The sequence below is a fragment of the Homo sapiens genome, chromosome 3 (assembly GCF_000001405.40).
Source record: "Homo sapiens chromosome 3, GRCh38.p14 Primary Assembly".
NCBI classification, from domain to species: domain Eukaryota; kingdom Metazoa; phylum Chordata; class Mammalia; order Primates; family Hominidae; genus Homo; species Homo sapiens.
The window spans coordinates 34,328,326-34,346,801 of record NC_000003.12 but is presented as its reverse complement, the minus strand read 5'-3'; the positions used below and the strand labels follow the sequence as shown (position 1 = coordinate 34,346,801).

The following is an 18,476-nucleotide window of genomic DNA, read 5'->3' as shown; positions in this document are numbered from 1 at the left end:
GCAAAACCATACCCTGCCAAAAAGAAGAGGTAAAATCTGGACTTCCTGAAATGTGTCACTGAAACATGCTGTTTTGGAATTCACTATTCCACTGAGAAATTCTCTCTCCTTCCCACAGAGAAAGACTCATGAGGGTGGAGAGACTAGGAGCCAGAATCCACCTGCTCCCCACTCATTTATTCAAATTGAAAATAGATCCTAAAGAACTATATGATTTTTTTCCCTGGGAAGGTATAAAAATATGTCTCTGTTAAAAGAAGAATCATTTTAATACAGCCTTGGGATGATCACACAGGTTTTTGAAAGTGAGTTCAGCTCATCATCTTTATTAACAAGTATTTATCTTTCTTATCTTTCTTGGGCAGCCTCCCTTCCACTTTTTATGGCCTACAGGTTGAGCTCACCTTCTCCATCATCATACAGTATCGGGGGGAAAATGCTTAAATACATTTCAGATGTAAATGAGCATCTTGGGAAGGAAGCATCATAAGTAAAGAGCCATCTTCACACACCTGTTGCCTCCTGAGGGCAGTTGCTCCATGGAGTCCACTGTGACCTTGTTGGCAAGTATCCTGATGATCTAGAAGAGGACACAGATTGATGCTAGCCCATCTCACCTGCATCATGCTATTAGCAGCCCAATTCTATACTCTATCCAGAACTACTTTACATACTAATCTCTCCTTCTTAATTGTTTTATTACATATACAATGTAGTCAACATGAAAACCAAGAAATATGATAAATAAGGAATAAATGAGGCACAGGTGTTCCCTGCAGGTCTCATCACAGCACAAAAAACCAACCCATTAAAGAGGCTCAGCTGCATTACTTTCTCCTTGAGCAGATTTTTATGGCCCCTTACACCTACATGTACAAAACAGGAAGAATTGGGAAGTCAGATGTGCATTCCTAGTGCTACCTGGTTAGCAGGCCCTGGAGTAAGTAAAGCTTGTGTTTTTCCAGGGAAGTAGCCAAAGAGACTTTCTTGTGCTTTTCCCGGTGAACCTACAGGCAGCAACCCCACATGTCAAAAGTGCAGACTGATGACATTGCCAAATGTTTCACACAAAGCCTGATGTGCTACCTCTTGTTTGTGTTATCATCCCTCTTCTGCAGTCAGAGCCTGTTCAGAGCTACACAAACCTTCCCTGGTTCCTTGAACCCCAGGCACCGGACAATCCCAATATGCAGCTTAATCCCAGTTTTGAAACACCAAGATCAGATTCCAAGATTCTCGTGTAACATGCAGACATGCATGATTATGTGGGCACGTAGTAGGTGTATATATTTATGAGGTACATGAGATGTTTTGATACAGGGATGCAATGCATAATAATCACATCATGGAGAACAGAGTATCCATCCCCTCAAGCATTTATCCTTTGTGTTACAAACAATCCAATTATACTTGTTTAGTTATTTTTAAATATACAATTACATTATTATTGACTACAGTCACCCTGTTGTGCTCTCAAATAGGCCTTATTCATTCTTTCTCATCACTGTTTTTGTACCTACTAATCACTCCGAACTCTCCCGAGACCTGCCCCCACCCCGCCCCGCCCCTACCCTTCCCAGCGTCTGGTAACCATCTGTATTGGTCCGTTCTCATGCTGCTAATGAAGATACCCGAGACTGGGAAATTTATAAAGGAAAGAGGTTTAATTGACTTGCAGTTCAGCATGGCTGAAGAGGTCTCAGGAAACCTATAATCATGGCAGACAGGGAAGCAAACACATCCTTCTTCATGTGGCGGCAGCAAGGAGAAGTGCCAAGCAAAAGGAAGAAAAGCCCGTATAAAAACATCAGATCTTGTGAGAACTTACTATCACAAGAATAGCATGAAAGAAACCACCCCCACGATTCAATTGTCTCCCACTGGGCACTTCCCATGACACATGGGGATGATGGGAACTACAATTCAGGATGAGATTTGGGTGGGGACACAGCCAAGGGATATCACCATCCTTCTACTCTCTATCTCCATGAGTTCAATTGATTTGATTTTTAGAACCCACAAATAACTGAGAACATGTGATGTTTCAGAATATGCCATGTTTTTCTTTCTCTGCCTGGCTTTTTTTCACTTAACATAATGATCTCCACTTCCTTCCAGTTGTTGCAAATGACTGGATCTCATTCTTATTTGTGGCTGAACAGTACTCCATTGTGTATAAGTACCACATTTTCTTTCTCTATTCATCCGCTGATGGACACTTAGGTTGCTTCCAAATCTTGGCTACTGTGAACAGAGCTGCAAAAAACATGGGAGTGCAGATAAGTCTTTGATATACTGATTTCCTTTCTTCTGGGTATATACGCAGCAGTGGGATTACTGGATCATATGGTAGCTCAATTTTTAGTTTTTTGAGGAAACTCCAAACTGTTCTCCATAGTGATTGTACTAATTTACATTCCTACCAATAGCATATGAGGGTTCCCTCTTCTCCATATCTTTGCCAGGATGTGTCATTGCCTGTCTTTTGGGGATAGAAGTCATTTTGTTATAACTGGTGTGAGATGATATCTCATTGTATTTCATTGTAGTTTTGATTTTCATTTCTCTAATGATCAATGATTCTCTGATTAATGATGTTGAGCACTTTTTCATATGCCTATTTTCCCTTTGTAGGTCTTCTTTTGAGAAATGTCTATTCAAATATTTTGCCCATATTTTTATCAGGTTATTAGATTTTTTCCTATAGAGTTGTTTGAGCTCCTTATATATTCTGGTTATTAATCCCTTGTCAGATAGGTATTTGCAAGTATTTTCTGTCATTCTTTGCATAATGTCTCTTCACTTTGCATGATCATGCTTTACCTAGATAGTAATGTTCCTGGTGGTTTCTACCATCCACTCTGCCAGCTGTGGCTAGTTAGAGTGCCAGGTTAATAAGGCCAAGATCTCTCAATTTCCACTTCCAAGGAGTTTCAAGAGAGGATGCTGATTCAGGTCTCTAAGATTTGTCAGAAATCTTCATATAGGTATTTAGCACAGATGCTTCAAGGAGAAATTTCACATGTTATGTGGAGGATATAAATACTTTAGCCTCAATGTTCCTCCAACTGAGATGCCGTGAATCCACACGTCTACAATAAATATATTAATCTTCTCATGGAATCTATTTCTCCATCTCAACTAAGGGGCTTAGATAGGGCAAATATAGCTAGGTCAAATTAAAGTGTAACTAGAATTCATGTAACTGGAATGATTAATGGAAAGTTTTACCTTCTCTCTGGTCTTGGATGGTGAGACATGTTTTCACACAGAGCATAAGATAATGAGAATTTCTAATCTGGACTCTCCTCATTATTAAAGCACATCACTCAGAATTACCTCAGTAGGGAATCTTCCGTGAATGAAGCCTTATGTCACTAAAGTCATTAATATTACTTGTTTCAGGCATGAATGAGACCACTACATAAATTTTGCTTTGAAAAATGGGGAAGAAGGGAAAAACAAAAAGTCAGTATGTTTTTCTTACGTTGGTTATTATGATCAGCAGCAGCACCAACAATGAGTGAGCTCTGAAATTAATAAACATAAATGCAGAAAATATAAACAGCCAGAGCTATCTTCAGCCAAAGATCAATCAAGCAGCAATCTCCTGATATTGTGCAACTCTAGGGGTATGCCTCAGAGTGGATTGATTGCTTGCTTTTTGGAGGCATTCTTCCTGTTTGAGAAGGAACTGTAGGATAATCATCAGACAGGTTTTTGCAGCCTGAAATGGGGTCTCTCTATAGCTTGGTTTTGTTTTGTTTGTACAACTCCTCAGTAAAAGTTACCAAGAAGGTATAAAATGACACCGCACAGCTCTGTTGCACCATAGTATTCAGGAAATCAAAGTGCTGAATGTTATAAGACATAGAAAGGAAATGAGAGGCATTTGCAACAGTGTGGATTCAAATCCCAGCATTGAGGCTCTGCTCTTACAAGCAATTTTTTCAGTTCAAATTTTAATCAAAGAAAGTGGCTCACTTAAAGTTTCTTTAACAACACTAGATGATCAGTATATCTAGACTGATCAGACAAAATGCCAGCACTCTGTCAAGCTACAGCTGCTTGCCATCTTTCCCCAGGTTGTCTTGAAAAAGAAATCAGGAAATTTAAGGTGAGGCTTCCTTGGAAGATAATTTGCATTGTGATATTTAATTGCCAAAAAACAGCTATTTCAGAAACCTATAGAGAGAATTTTAGATGTACAGTGAAAAAGGAAAATAAGCAGCCTAGGAACTTGTTTGCCACAATTCCAACATTCAGGATAATATAGTTAATTTAGAAATGAAAGGACTGAGACCCAGAAAAGAGAAATCTGAAAGATGCAGAACTGAAGCCATTGGAAATTTAGAATACAAATGGAAAAGAAATGAATGTAGTTTATTTAAAAACTATCTATCAGAGTGGCTAAAATGAAAAAGACAATACTAAGTGAGTGTAGCAATGTGGAAAAACTGGAACTTTCATAGCATATGCTGCTAGTGGTAGTGTATATTGGTACAACCATTTTGGAAAACTGTTTCGTGATATCTACTAAAGTTGAGCAAGTGCTTATTCTATGACCTAGCAATTCCACTCTTAGGAAAGTATACAGAAGAAACGTATAAACATGTTCACCAAAAGGCACGTACTAGACTGTTCAGAACATCATTATTTGTAACTGTCAAAAACTGAAAACCCTCCAAAGTCCATTAAAAAGAGGCTAATAAATTGTAATATAATCACACAATGGAATACTATGCAGTAATAATAATGAATAAACAACTACCCATAGCAACATGGATAAAACTTATTTATGTATCATTGAGTAAAGTAAGTTTGAAACAAAAGATTACATAACATAATGCCATTTATACAAAGTTCAAAATCAAGCATAACTAATCTCTGGTATTAAGAGACTGAATATTTGTGGACACAAGAGAGACTTTTGGAAATCTAATAAGGTTGAATTTTTTAAACTGAGTATTGCTTACATGAATATGCTCAGCTGGTGACGAGTCATCAAGCTACACACTTAAAATTTGAGCACTTTTCTGTATGAATATAGTACTTCAATAACATTTTGATTTTTGTAGCTGGTTATAGAGACGGTGATGGATATAGAAGATAAGAGAAATTCATCCCACACAAAATTGTTCTTGATGAACAAATGATATATAAATTCAATTATTAAAATACAGAAACTTTTTCAGACATAAAGAATTAAATTTGTAGATGAAAAGGGTAGTGACCTGCCCTTTCCTCAATTAAAAAAAAAAAAGGTAAACAATAATAAGCATTGTAATTAGATCCTACCAAAGTCACTGAAATTCAATGTTAACAAACCACCTTGGGAAGTTCAGCTTCCGGTAATGGTGAATTATATAATTCAGAACAACATTCCCACTGAAGATAGCTAGTAGAAAAGCTGGAAAACCCCCTTTTTTAAAAACATGCTGGAAGACACTGAAAAGCAAATAAGGTAGTAAAGAATTGCAATCACAAGAACTAGGAAAAGTCAAAGATGTAAGGTGAGCCCTCCATGAGAAGCCACTTTTGGTGTGGGGATTTTGCAAGTCCTGAGAAGTCAGTGGAGAGTGCAGGCAATGCGCTGTTTCTTGACCTAGGCGAGGCATACATAGGTGCTTGTTTTGTTCTTTGCAGATTTTCTATATGTGTGTGATAGTTTGCAACACAGAGTTAAAAAGGAAATATCAAGCTGTCATTTAAATAGAAAAAAAGAGTTAATTTTAGATTTATGCAAAGCAATACTATCAAAGCCAGAAAGCAGTAGACAACTGGTCCCAGTGATCTGAGGAAAAAATAACTGACAAGTAGTCCTTCAAGTATAAAGTTTAAAAGCAACAAACATACATTGTTTAGTATGCAATAACTTAGAAAAGCCAGCACTTCCGGGCCTTGCTTGAATAGAGTACTAGAGGATAAAATTCTGCTAGCAAACAGACATATCAAAATATAAACAATAGGAAGAAAGAAGAAACATAAAATGAGGACTGGTGGTTAACATTAAATTCATTTAAATACAAAACTTGATCTAAGCAACTGTGAGAATTATGAGATCACTGGTTCTTTTAATTCCACTGCAAATTTATCTCTGCTAAATTAAAGAAGGATTATGTTTAATATGTTCAATAAAAATAGCATGTGCTTTATAATTCCAATCTTGATAATTATGTTTTCTCTCTCTCTCTCCCCCAACTATATGTACTCCATATGTATATTAATAAAGAAATATCTAGAGTTGTGTTTATAAATGTTAAAAACAGGGCAGTGGAATTTTAGGCAATTTTTTTCTTTTTGAATGTCCGATTTTTGCATTTTTATTCAAAAATGAATGTGTTTGTGAAAAATAATAGTTATCATTCTTTAAAAAATAAACTGGGAACAATATACACAATATACGCAAAAATTAAGTCTATACACAAAAGTCAGCTAAGAAAGTGTATTTCCCTTAGCAACACTGAAGGAGATATTTAAATATAATCAGCATTCAATGAACACACAATTTAGTAATCAAAAAAATAACTGACAGCGTGTAAATTATTCATATTTTAATTTTTCAATTGTTTACTCTTTTCAAATATTTATTTCTCCCTTTAAAGCAAACACATTTATTCAGGAGAATAAAATTTAAAAGGAAGAAAATTTTGTATCAAACTGAGTTTAAATTACATATTGGAAATTTAGGTTCCACAAACGAAAGAAACTTCCAATAGTAGAAAATCGTCAAAGCTATCTTAAATGCTTACAGTACTAAGTCCTTTGTTAAATTCAACTTTTATAGAATCACTGTTTCTACCTAAAATTATCCCCCTGCCCCTTGTATTTCTGCTCCTTGCACATCCAGTCTTCTGAACCAAGCCAACAGGTTCCACCACTTTTGATGTTCTCTTCTGCTTTACTCGTGACATCCAGTCAAGGGCTACTTTTGTAACACATCCTCCACTCCATCCATTTTCATTGCCTCCAAAGTCAAGCCCTAATTATTTAGCATCCAGACTGCCTACCTATCCAGTGGCCTTACATCTAATCTCCCCACATTCATTCTTTCCTTAGATTACTTACGAAACCCACTTAAGACACCTAAACCCACTTGGGACACTAAGCTCAGGAACCCACTTAAACCCACTTGGAACATTAGGCTCGGACTTTGGAGACCATGGAATGAATTTCTTTCCATCAATTAGATTAAAATCCCACAAGGAGACAGGCAAGCAAGTAGTGTGCATGATACAGCATGGTAAAGGGATGCAACAGGCCCCAAGAATGAGGAATTATCCATATACAGAAGTCCAAGAAAACTTTCCCAAGAAGTAACAGGTGAAACGAACCTGAAGCATATGAGAGCCAAGTACAGAAAAGGGTATTTCAGGTGGAGACAGCATGGGGATGTTTGGGGAAATGTCTAATTGTTCGTTAAATCTGACGTGTTCAAAAAGAGAAATCTAGAGAACAGCAAGGCGGCTGTGGCGGCAGCCCACCAGCCAGAGCAAAACATATACGAGATTGAAGAGCCACCAGCTGATGTAAGGGCTGGCATGATTCAAACTGAACAGCACTGTCAGATAATCTTTCCAAAAAACATAACTGATTTTCTTCATTTGTGTGCTTTAAACTTTTCACCAGCTCCTCAATTAATTATAAGCACCTTTGGAATAAATGACAATCATTTTCTCATTTCCATGCAGGAAAAAAAAAGGCTTAAATATGCCCCATTGCTTAAAGGAACTGCAATCCAGTCAATTCATATAAATTATTATACATTCTGATTTACTGGAAGCAAAACAACCAAGCAGTAATTCACTATTCAGTGATCTTTCCATTCATTCATGTGCTGAAGATACAATGATGAACAGGAGGCAGTAGAGTCTCTTGGGGGGGACTCAAACATGAGCCAAAGCAAAAGTATGATTAGAACTTTAATAAAGATATGTACAAGGCACCTTGGGAGCCAAGCTGATGCATCTTAAGTCTGTGTGTGGATATTCTGAAAGACTTCCCCAAGAGGATGGAGACTGGGCTGAACCTTGAAGGATGAGTGTAGTTCTCAGCTGGCAAGGGCAGAAATGTTTAAAAGGTGAAAAACTCAGCCTGTCTTGGCCACAGAGTGAATGGAAATAAGAAACATGTAGAAAGACAAGTAGGATCAAATGACAAGCCTGAGAATATTTTTGGTTTTGCCTTTTTTTTTTGGAAAACTTAATATTTTTAATTGACAAATAATTGTATATATTTATGGGCTACATGTAATGTTTCAATATATGTACAATTAGTGTAATGATCAAATCAGCTAATTGACATATTCATCACCTCAAATATTTATCATTTCTTTGTGGTGAGAACATTTAGTATCCACTGTTTTAGCAATTTTGTAAAATATATTATTATTAACTATAGCCACCATGCTGTGCAACAAATTACCAGAATTTATTCTTCCTAAGTGAAACTTTGAACTCTGTCCAGCATCCCTCCTTTCCCTGTCCACCCTACCTCCTCAGCCTCTGTTAATCGCCCTTCTACTCTCTAGTTCTATGAGTTCAACTTCTTCAAATCCACATGTAAATTAAATTATGTGGTATTTGTCTTTCTGTGACTGGCTTATTTCACTTAGCATAATGTCCTCTAGATTCTTCTATGTTGACACAAATTACAAAATTTCCTTCTTTTTTTAAGGCTGAATAGTATTCTATTGCATATTTAACACATTTTGATCCAGCTGTCTGTTGCTAGACACTTAGGCTGACTCAATATCTTGGCTATTGTGAATAACACTGCAATAAAAGTGGGAGTGCAGATCTTCCTTTCACATACATATTTCCTCTCCTTTGGCTATATAGTGGGATTGCTGAATCATATGGTAATTCAATTTTTAGTGTTTTGAGAAACCTCCATACTACTCTCCAATATGGCTCTACTAATTTACACTTTCACCAACAGTAGGCAAGGGTTCCCTTTTCTCCACACCCCTGAAAACACTAATGTTTCATATTTTTGTCATAGTCATTCTAACAGGTGTGAGGTTATATCTCATTGCAGTTTTGATTTGCAATTTCCTGATGCTTAGTGATGTTGAGCATTTTTCCACATATCTGTTAGACATTTGTATGTCTTTTAGAGAAACATCTATTCAGGTCCTTTGCTCATTTTTAATTGGATTATTTGTTTTCTTGTTATTGAGTAGTTTGACTTACTTACATATGTTGGTTTTGCGTTTTCAAAAGTTCACTCTGGCAAAAGTGAGGAGTCAGGACAGTAAGAGATAGAAGTGAAGGCAGAGAGACCAGTTAGAAAGTGTCAAGGTAAACCAGGTGAGAAATGATGAGGGCCTGACCTAATGCATTTTTATAAAGTATTTGGCTTCATTCTCTCTCAGTAGGGCTTGTTGATATAAATAACAAATGTCAGGAATGATTAAAATCAGATAACCTGTGTTCTGATATTCAATTCTTTATTTTCTGGGTGAGACCTCTACTCAGACAATGAGCACTGGGAGGCAGGATAAATAGGTTCTGCTGGTATCTGTGGCTCTGGTAAACACCATAGAGATTACTAATCTGTTTTAAGTCAATTATCTCTAAAATCTGCTTTTAAAAAAGCTATGAACCTTCCTCTCAAAAATTATATACACAAAATTTTGATGTGTCCCAGTGTGTCCAAAGGTAATGAATACTCAGTTTCTATACTTACCTTGAATATTTGGTGGACTTTGCAGGAAACACTTCGAATTGATAATAGAGCAAAGGTCTCCTGCAGATGTTCATCTTGTAAATGTGGGCCTGACAGTGTGGGATAGACAGATGTAAATTGTGGGGCTAGCTCCTGAAACCCAAAGTATCAAGTACATCAAATATTAACTTTGAAGGTAGTATTCCGTAAAAGAAGGGATCTTACCGTTAAGAAATAGTATTGGGTGAATCAGCTAAGTCTACATGATGCCTTTGAGAGAAAGGTGTTTCAGTACAAAATTGCCTCCATGTGACAACAAAATAATACGGGCTTAAACTAGGTAGAAGTTTATTTTACTTTCACATAAAAGTCAAAGCTGTTAAGAAATTTCTGTTTTTACAAATTTATCTGTGATCCAGGCTTCTACTGTCTCATTTTCTGCCATGGATGTTTTGTCCACATGGTTTTTAAAATGCCTCATCATTATATCCACACTCTGAAAAGCAGGGTGGAAGAAAAAGGAAAAGGGTGTGTACCCCTCACTTCCAAGACATAGCTCAGAAATTTCACATAACTCTGATTCCAGCATCTCGAAATTAATCACATGGGTAAAACTACAGGCATGGAAAGTGGGGGAAATACACCTGATTAAAAATTATTGTAGCAGGGGAGAAATTCAGATGTTCATTTATGTTTTCTTTGAATTAGCTTCCACATTTGATGAGTTGAGAGCTATATTCAACAGCTTCCACATTTAGTGAGTGGGGAGCTATATTCAACTGCAAGATTAAGTGAGTAAAATTTAAACTTTCCAAAATTCAGGAGATTTATATCAGCAATACAATGGAATATGAGATATTAGCCTTTATCTGTCCACAAAAAATTAGATAGAAGATAGATATCCACAAACCAAAATAGCACAGAGAGGACTCAAGGACCCATTAAAAAATTTGCAGCAACACGGTGGAGCAAAAACCCAAAGAATATTTACACAGAAAGAATCATTGGTGAATTCAGCGCACTTGAGATACTAGGACATGGCTAGAAAAAAGGAAGAAAGGCAAAGGCTCTTGGCATCAGTCATATGGCAAGAGCCACCATGGTCCCCAGTGGCCTGCTTTTCAGTGAACACTGGCATCTTTTGCCCCTGAAGTAACAAACAGCCATTCTCACTGGGGAATCCGAGAAAGGGAAACACAGCTGCACTCCCATCCCCCACCCAAAAAGCACCCTCTGTTGAGCCACTTCAGGAACAGAGCTATCACCTCTCTCAATCCCAGAAATACTCTGACCATAAAGACACAGCCACCCCATGAATGCGTCCTCCTACAGACCCGGGCTCTGTGGCAGCACTACCCCACCAACGTCTCAAACACTGGAGCCATTGTCATAACAAGCTACTTCACACTCCAGGGCCCACAACCAGGTTCTTACTTTGTATGTCCATAGTCTGGGCACTGGCTCTGCCACCATAGAGAGCTAGGCCCCACCTTAACCCCAGAGCACTCTGATTGTATGAAAGCCTATGCTCCCATTCTCAGCTCCCTGGCTGCTTCACAAGTACCTGTGCCTCACATAATGTTACTAACAAAGTAGCTGGGTTTGGGGGTGCCTGAACCCCAGGTACTAGATCACCTTTCATAGAGAGTTAGGCCCTGCCCTGACCCTGGAGCTGCTCTAACTCTGTGTAAGCCTGTGCTCCTTTTATCAGGTCCCTGGATGCTTCATAAGTATCACTGCTTTGCATACTGTTACCACCACAGTAGTGGAAGTGCCGACACCCCTGGTTCCAGTACCATTACTGCCTCAGATCCAGGACCTATAATTTCTCCATGCGTGCTTTGGATTCAAATCTCAGCAACATGGCTACTTTACGGATATCGCTTATCAGACACCAGAGCCATTGCCACCATGAGTGGCTCTATAAGCCAGACACAAGACTAGGAAAAATCTCCTCAACCACAACTTTCCCAGTGGGAGAAAAAGAGATCAGGAAATCCTAAGCAGTCATCATCACCAAAGACCCCAAAAACCCTCATTGTCACTTTGAACAAACAGAGTCATGACCTCTGAGGATCCCTGAAATCACTGTCAATGCCCATATCAGCTGCCAGAGCTTTCACTGGTGCCAGAACCACTGTATCATAACCAGCAAGCACGCTCACACACACACACCCCATAGGGGAAGGTCTTTCTAAAATAAAAAAGTCCATCAAGTCTGGAAGAAGTGACTGCTCAAAAAAATGGCCAAACATCAATGTATGGCAACAAGAAACATTAAAAACCAAGGAGCTATAACACTGCCAAAAAAAAAAAAAAAAAACCCACAATAATTTTCCAGTAGCTGACCCCAAAGAAATGAAGATATAGAACATGACTGACAAAGAATTCAAAATGATTGCTTGAAGAAAGTTCAGATAAATTCAAGAAAATACAGAGAAATTTTTTTTTAAAAAAAGGAAAACAGTAAATGGGGCCAAAATGAGAAATTTAACAGTAAAATTATAATTTTTTAAAATCAAATTCTGGAGAAAAAAATATAATGAGTGAAATGAAAAATACAATAAAGGGTGTCAACAGCAGAACTGATCAAGCAGAAAAAGAATCTGTAAACTTGAAGACAGGTTATTTGAAAATATATAGTGAGAGGAGAAAAAAGAATGAACAAAGCTGATGGTATTTGTGGGACAGTATCAATAGCACAATTATTCAAATTATAGGTGTTTTTAAAAGAGAGAGAAAAGAGGTCAGAAAGATTATATAAAGAAATGTTATAGAAAAATTTCTAAATCTGGAGAAAAATACAAATATCCAAGTATAGGAGCCAAAAGTCTCCAATCAGATTCAATCCAAACAAAACTATACATCATGACATATAATGGTTGGTCAAAAATCAAAAACAGACAGCAGACCCTGAAATCAGAAATAGAAAAAAAAAAAAAAAAAAAAAAGCAAATAACATACGAGGACGTTTCACTAAGGTTAGCGGATTTCTCAACAAAAAAACCTTACAGGCCAGGAGAGAGTGAGATGACATATTAAAAGTGCTAAATAGGCCAGGCATGGTGGCTCATGCCTGTAATCCCAGCACTTTGGGAGGCCAAGGCGGGCAGATCACAAGGTCAGGAGATCGAGACCATCCTGGCTAACACGGTGAAACCCCATCTCTATTAAAAATACAAAAAATTAGCTGGGCATGGTGGCGGGCACCTGTGTTCCCAGGTACTCAGGAGGCTGAGGCAGGAGAATGGCATGAACCCAGGAGGCGGAGCTCGCAGTGAGCCGAGATTGTGCCAGTGCACTCCAGCCTGGGTGACAGAGTGAGACTCTGTCAGAAAGAAATAGAGAGAGAGAGAGGGAGAGATAAGAAAGAAAGAAAAAGAGAAAGAAAGAGAGAAAGAGAGAAAGAAAGAAAGAAAGAAAGAAAGAAAGAAAGAAAGAAAGAAAGAAAGGGAAAAGAAAAGAAAGAAAGAGAGAAACTGCTAAATAAATTTAAAACTGCCAACCAAGAGTAGTTTGTCTGGCAAAGGTGTTCCTCAGAAATGAAGAGATAAAGACTTTCCAGACAAATAAAAGCTGAAGGAGTTTATGACTATCAGAACGGTCTTGCAAGAAATGCTAAAGGAAGTTACTGAAGCTGAAGGAATGCACACTAAGTAGTAATATAAAATATATGAAAGTAAAAACTCCATGGTAAAAGTACAGATGCAAATTTAGAATGCTCCAATACTGTAATAGTGGTGTATAAATTATCTGTATTTTTGGTATAAAGGTTAAAAGATAAAACTATTAAAAATAAGAGTAATTATAATATTTAAGAGATATACAATATAAAATGATGTAAAATGTGCCATAAACATAAAATATAAGGGGATGAAGTAAAAGTATAGTTTTTTATGCTGTCAAAGACACATTGTTATCAAAAAAGACACATTGTTATTAGCTTAAAATATCTTATTGTAACTATAAACTGTTTTATGTAAGTCTCATGCCACAAAGCAAAACTTATAGTAAATACACAAAAGTTAAAAACTAACCAAGCACAGTGGCTCATTCCTGTAATCCCAGCACTTTGGGAGGCCAAGGTGGGTGGATCACTTGAGGTCAGGAGTTCTAGACCAGCCTGGCCAACATGGTGAAACCCCACCTTTGCTAAAAATACAAAAATTAGCCAGATATGTGGCAGATGCCTGTAATCCCAGCCACTCAGGAGGCTGAAGTGGGAAAATTGCTTGACCTCGGAAGGTGGAGCTTGCATTGTGCTGATATGGTGCCACTGCACTTCAACCTGAGCAACAGAGTGAGACTCCATCTCAAAAAAAAAAAAAGGAAGGAAGGAAAAAGGAAGGGGGGGGGAGGCAGGGAGGGAGGGAGGAAGGAAGGAAGGAAAGAAGGAAAGGGAAGGGAAAGGAAAGGAAAAGGGAAAGGGAAAAGGAAAAGGAAAGAAAAAAGAAAAGAAAAGGGAAAAGAGAAAGATAAAAAGTAAATAATCAAAGTATTTCAATAGAGAAAACTGCCTGATCAAAAAAGAATATAGCAAGAGAGAATAAAGGAAAAAAAGATGTACCAAACAATCAGAAAACAATAAAAATGGCAGTAATAAGTTCTTACCTATTAATAATTGCCTTGAATATAAATAGATTAAATTATCCAATCAAAATATATAAAGTCACTGAATACATAAACAAGACCCAACTATGTGTTGCCAATAAGAAATGTACTTCACCTTTAAGAACACACATAGATTAAAAGTGAAAGGATGGAAAAAGATATTCCATAAAAATAAAATCCAAAAGAAAGTAAGGGTAGTTGTATTTATGTTAGATAAAACAGACTAATTTGAAACTGTAAAACAACACAGAGAAGATCATTCTATATGATAAAGGGGTCAACTCATCTGGAAGATATAATTATAAATATATATTCATCCAAAATCAGAGCATCTAAAGATGTGAAGACAATATTAATAGACCTGAAAAGAGACATAGACTGTAATACAATAACAGTAGGTACTCCAATACCCAACTTTCAACTATGGACAGATCATCCAGACTGAAAATCAAAAAAGAAACATTGGACTTGAACTACACTTTAGACTAAATGGATCTAACAGATAAATGAACATTCTATCCAATAGCTGCAGAATGCACATTCTTCTCAAGACACAAGAAACAGTCTCCAGAGTAGATCACGTTAGGCCACAAAATAAGTTTAAACAAATTTGAGATTGAAATTATATAAAGTATCTTTTTGAAACACAATGGTATGAAACTAAAATCAGTAATAGGAGAAACTTCAAAAAATTTACAAACATGGAAATTAAGCAACATGCTCCTGAACAACCAATGGGTCAATGAAGAAATTAAAAGGGAAATACAGATATTTCTTGAGACAAACAAAAATGAAAACACAACATCCCAAAAATTATGGGATGTAGCAGAAGCAGTTCTAATGGGATATTTTATAGCAAGAAATACCAACTTGAAAAAAGAAGAAAGATCTCAAATAACAATCAAATGTCAATCTCAAGGAACTAGGAAAAGAAAACCAACTAAGCCCAAAATCAGCACAAGGAATAAAATAATTAAGATCTGAACAGAAATAAAAAAATATAGATTAGAAAAACAACAGATAAGATTAACCAAACAGTTGGTTTTATAAAAGGATAAACAAAACTGAAAAATATTTAACTAGACTAAAAAAGAGAGGACTCAAATAACTAAAATCAGAATCTTAAAAGAAGACATTACAATTAATACCACAGAAATACAAAGAATCATAAAAGGCTCTTATGAACAATTATAAACCAACAAACTGGATAATCTGGAAGAAATGGATAATATTCTAGACCAAAACTAAATCAGGAAGAAACAGAAAATCTGAACAGATCAGTAACAAGTAAGGAGATTGAAAGAGTCATTAAAAATTTCCGATGACAAAAGAAAACCCCAGGACCTGATAGCTTCACAGCTGAATGTTACCAAATATTTAAAGAATACCAAGCCTTCTCAAACTGTTTCAAAAAATTAAGAGCAAGGAATACTTCCAAACCCATTTTACAAGTCCAGCATTACCCTGCTACTACAGCCAGAGAAGGACACTATAAGAAAAAAAAAAAATTACAAGCCAATATGCCTAATGAAAGTAGATGCAAAAGTTTTCAACCCAGTGCCACAAACCAAATTAAACAGTACATTTAAAATATCATTCACCATGATCAACTGGGATTTATTCCTGTGATCACTGGATATATGCAAAACTATGAATGTGATACACCACATTAACAAAATTAAAGAAAAAAAATGTGATCACTCAACAGTTGTGGAAAAGGTATTTGACAAAATTCAACTCCCTTTCATAATAAAAACTCTCAACAAGTTAGGTATAGAAGACATGTACCTCAACACAATAAAGCCCATATATCAAAAGCCTACAGCTAACATCATACTCAATGGTGAAAAGTTGAAAGCTTTTTCTGTAAGAGCAGAAGCAATACAACAAGGTTGCCCACTTTTGCTACTTCTATTCAACATAGTACTAGAAGTCCTAGCCAGAACAATCAGGCAAAAGAAAGAAATAAAAGGGATTCAAACTGGTTTAAAAGAAGTAGTTAAATTGTCTCTGTTTGTAGATGACATGATCTTATTTATACAAAGTCCTAAAGACTCCACCAAAAACTGTTAGAATTCATAAACAACTTGCTTACTAATTTTTGCAGATACAAGATCAGCACACAGAAATCATTAGTATGCAAACTATCACTACATTACGCTAGCAGCAAACTATCCAAAAAAGAAATTCTTTAAAATATCATTTACAATAGCTATAAAAAAACTTAGAGATAAATTTCACAGTGTACAGTGAAAGATCTGTACACTGAAATCTATAAAATGTTGATGAAGGAAATGGAAGAAGACACAGATAAATGGAAAGAAATCCTGTATTCATGGATTGGAATAATTAATATTGTTAAAATACTACTAAAAGTGGTCTAAATATTCAATGCAATCCTTATCAAAATTCCAATGATATTTTTCACAGAAATAGACAAAACAATTCTAAAAGTCATATGCAACCATAAATAACCTTGAATAGCCAAAGCAATTCTGAACAAAAAGAACAAAGACGAAGACATCATACTACCTGATTTCAAAATTTACTACAAATCTGCATTAATCAACACAGCATGGTATTGGCATAGAAACAGATACATCGAATAGAGAGCCCAGAAATGAACCCATCCACTTATGGCCAATTGACTTTCAGAAAAGATACCAAGCACACACAATGGAGAAAGGGTAGCTTCTTCAATAAATTGGTGATTAGAAAACTTGATATCTACATGCAGAAGAATGAAATTAAACCCTCTTCTCAAACTATATACAAAAAATCAATTCAAAATGAATTAATAACAAACATAACATCTAAAACTGTAAAACTACTAGAAGAAAACGTAGGAGAAATACTACATGAAGCTGGTCTTGTCAAGGACTTGTTGGATATGAACTCGAAAGCATAGGCGACAAAAGCAAAAATAGACTGATGGGATTACATCAAACTACAAAGCTTTAGCATAGCAAAGAAAACAATCAACAGAGTGAAGAGACAACCTACAAAATGGAAGAATATATTTGCAAACCATACATCTGATAAGGGGTTAATATTCAAGATATATGAAATTCAAACAGCTCAGTATTAAGAAAATAAAACAACAGATTAAAAATGGACAAAAGGCCTGGACAGACATTTCTCAAAACAAGATACACAAATGGGCAGCAGGTATATGAAAAGGTGCCCAACATCACTAATTATCAGAGAAACCCAAACTAAAACCATAATGATCTGTCACCTCATAGCTGTTAGAATGGATATCATCAAAAAGCCAAAAAAAAAAAAAAAAAAAAAAGTGCTGTTGAGGATACGGAGAAAAGGGAACCCTTGCACACTGTTGGAGGAAATGTTAATTAGTACAGCCATGTGGAAAACCATATGGAGGTCCTGTCAAAAAAATAATAATAAAGCTACCATATGATCCAGCAATTTCACTTCTATGCATATATCTAAAGGATCTGAAATCAGACGTCAAAGAGTTAACTATACGCTCACGTTTACTGTAGCATTATTCACAATACCCAAGATATGGAATCAACCTAAGTATCCATCAACAAATAAATGGATAAAGAAAATATGGTGTATATAAACACAATGGAATACTATCCAGCCTTAAAAATGAAGAAAATTCTGTCACTTCCAACAACATAAATGAACCTGGAGGTCACTATGTTAAGTGAAATAAGCCAGGCACAGAAAGGCAAATACCACCGGATCTTACTTATATATGGAGGGTAAAACTCGAATTCATAGAAACGAAGAGTAAAATGATGGCTACCAAAGACTGGGGAGTGGGAGAGGGACGTTGGTCAAAAAAAACACTAAATTTTAGTCAGACAGGAGCAATAAGTTCATGAGATTTATTGTACATTCTTGATGTCTACAGCTAATTGCAATATGTTGTATGCCTGAAAAGTGCAGAGTAGATTTTAAATGTTATCACTGTAAAAAATAAGTATGTAATGCATAAGTAGCTTGATTCAGCTATTTCACAATGTATACACGTATCAAAGCATCATGTTGTATACTATAAATATACACAATTTTTACTTGTCAATTAAAAAATAATAATTAAAAAATTAAACTCTCAAGCTTACCTTGTTTGAGAACCACAAAAAAAGGTTCATAGCACCAGGTATCAAAAACCCTAGTCTCTTGGGCCAGAGTATCAAAAAGCACCAAAAGTGACCAAGGTG

General features: G+C 36.2%; 1 long non-coding RNA gene across 16 annotated transcripts in view; it reads right to left on the bottom strand.

Moving 5' to 3' along the window:
• Positions 1-18,476, bottom strand: part of LINC01811 (long intergenic non-protein coding RNA 1811) — a 276,733-nt gene that overhangs the window by 89,295 nt on the left and 168,962 nt on the right. For 13 of the 16 annotated variants that reach the window (NR_183677.1, NR_183681.1, NR_183686.1 and 10 more), the window contains one exon: positions 513-580. The exons of the other annotated variants lie outside the window; for them this stretch is intronic. This is a non-coding gene — a long non-coding RNA (long intergenic non-protein coding RNA 1811). The remainder of the gene's footprint in view (positions 1-512; positions 581-18,476) is intronic. 16 annotated transcript variants of the gene reach the window in all.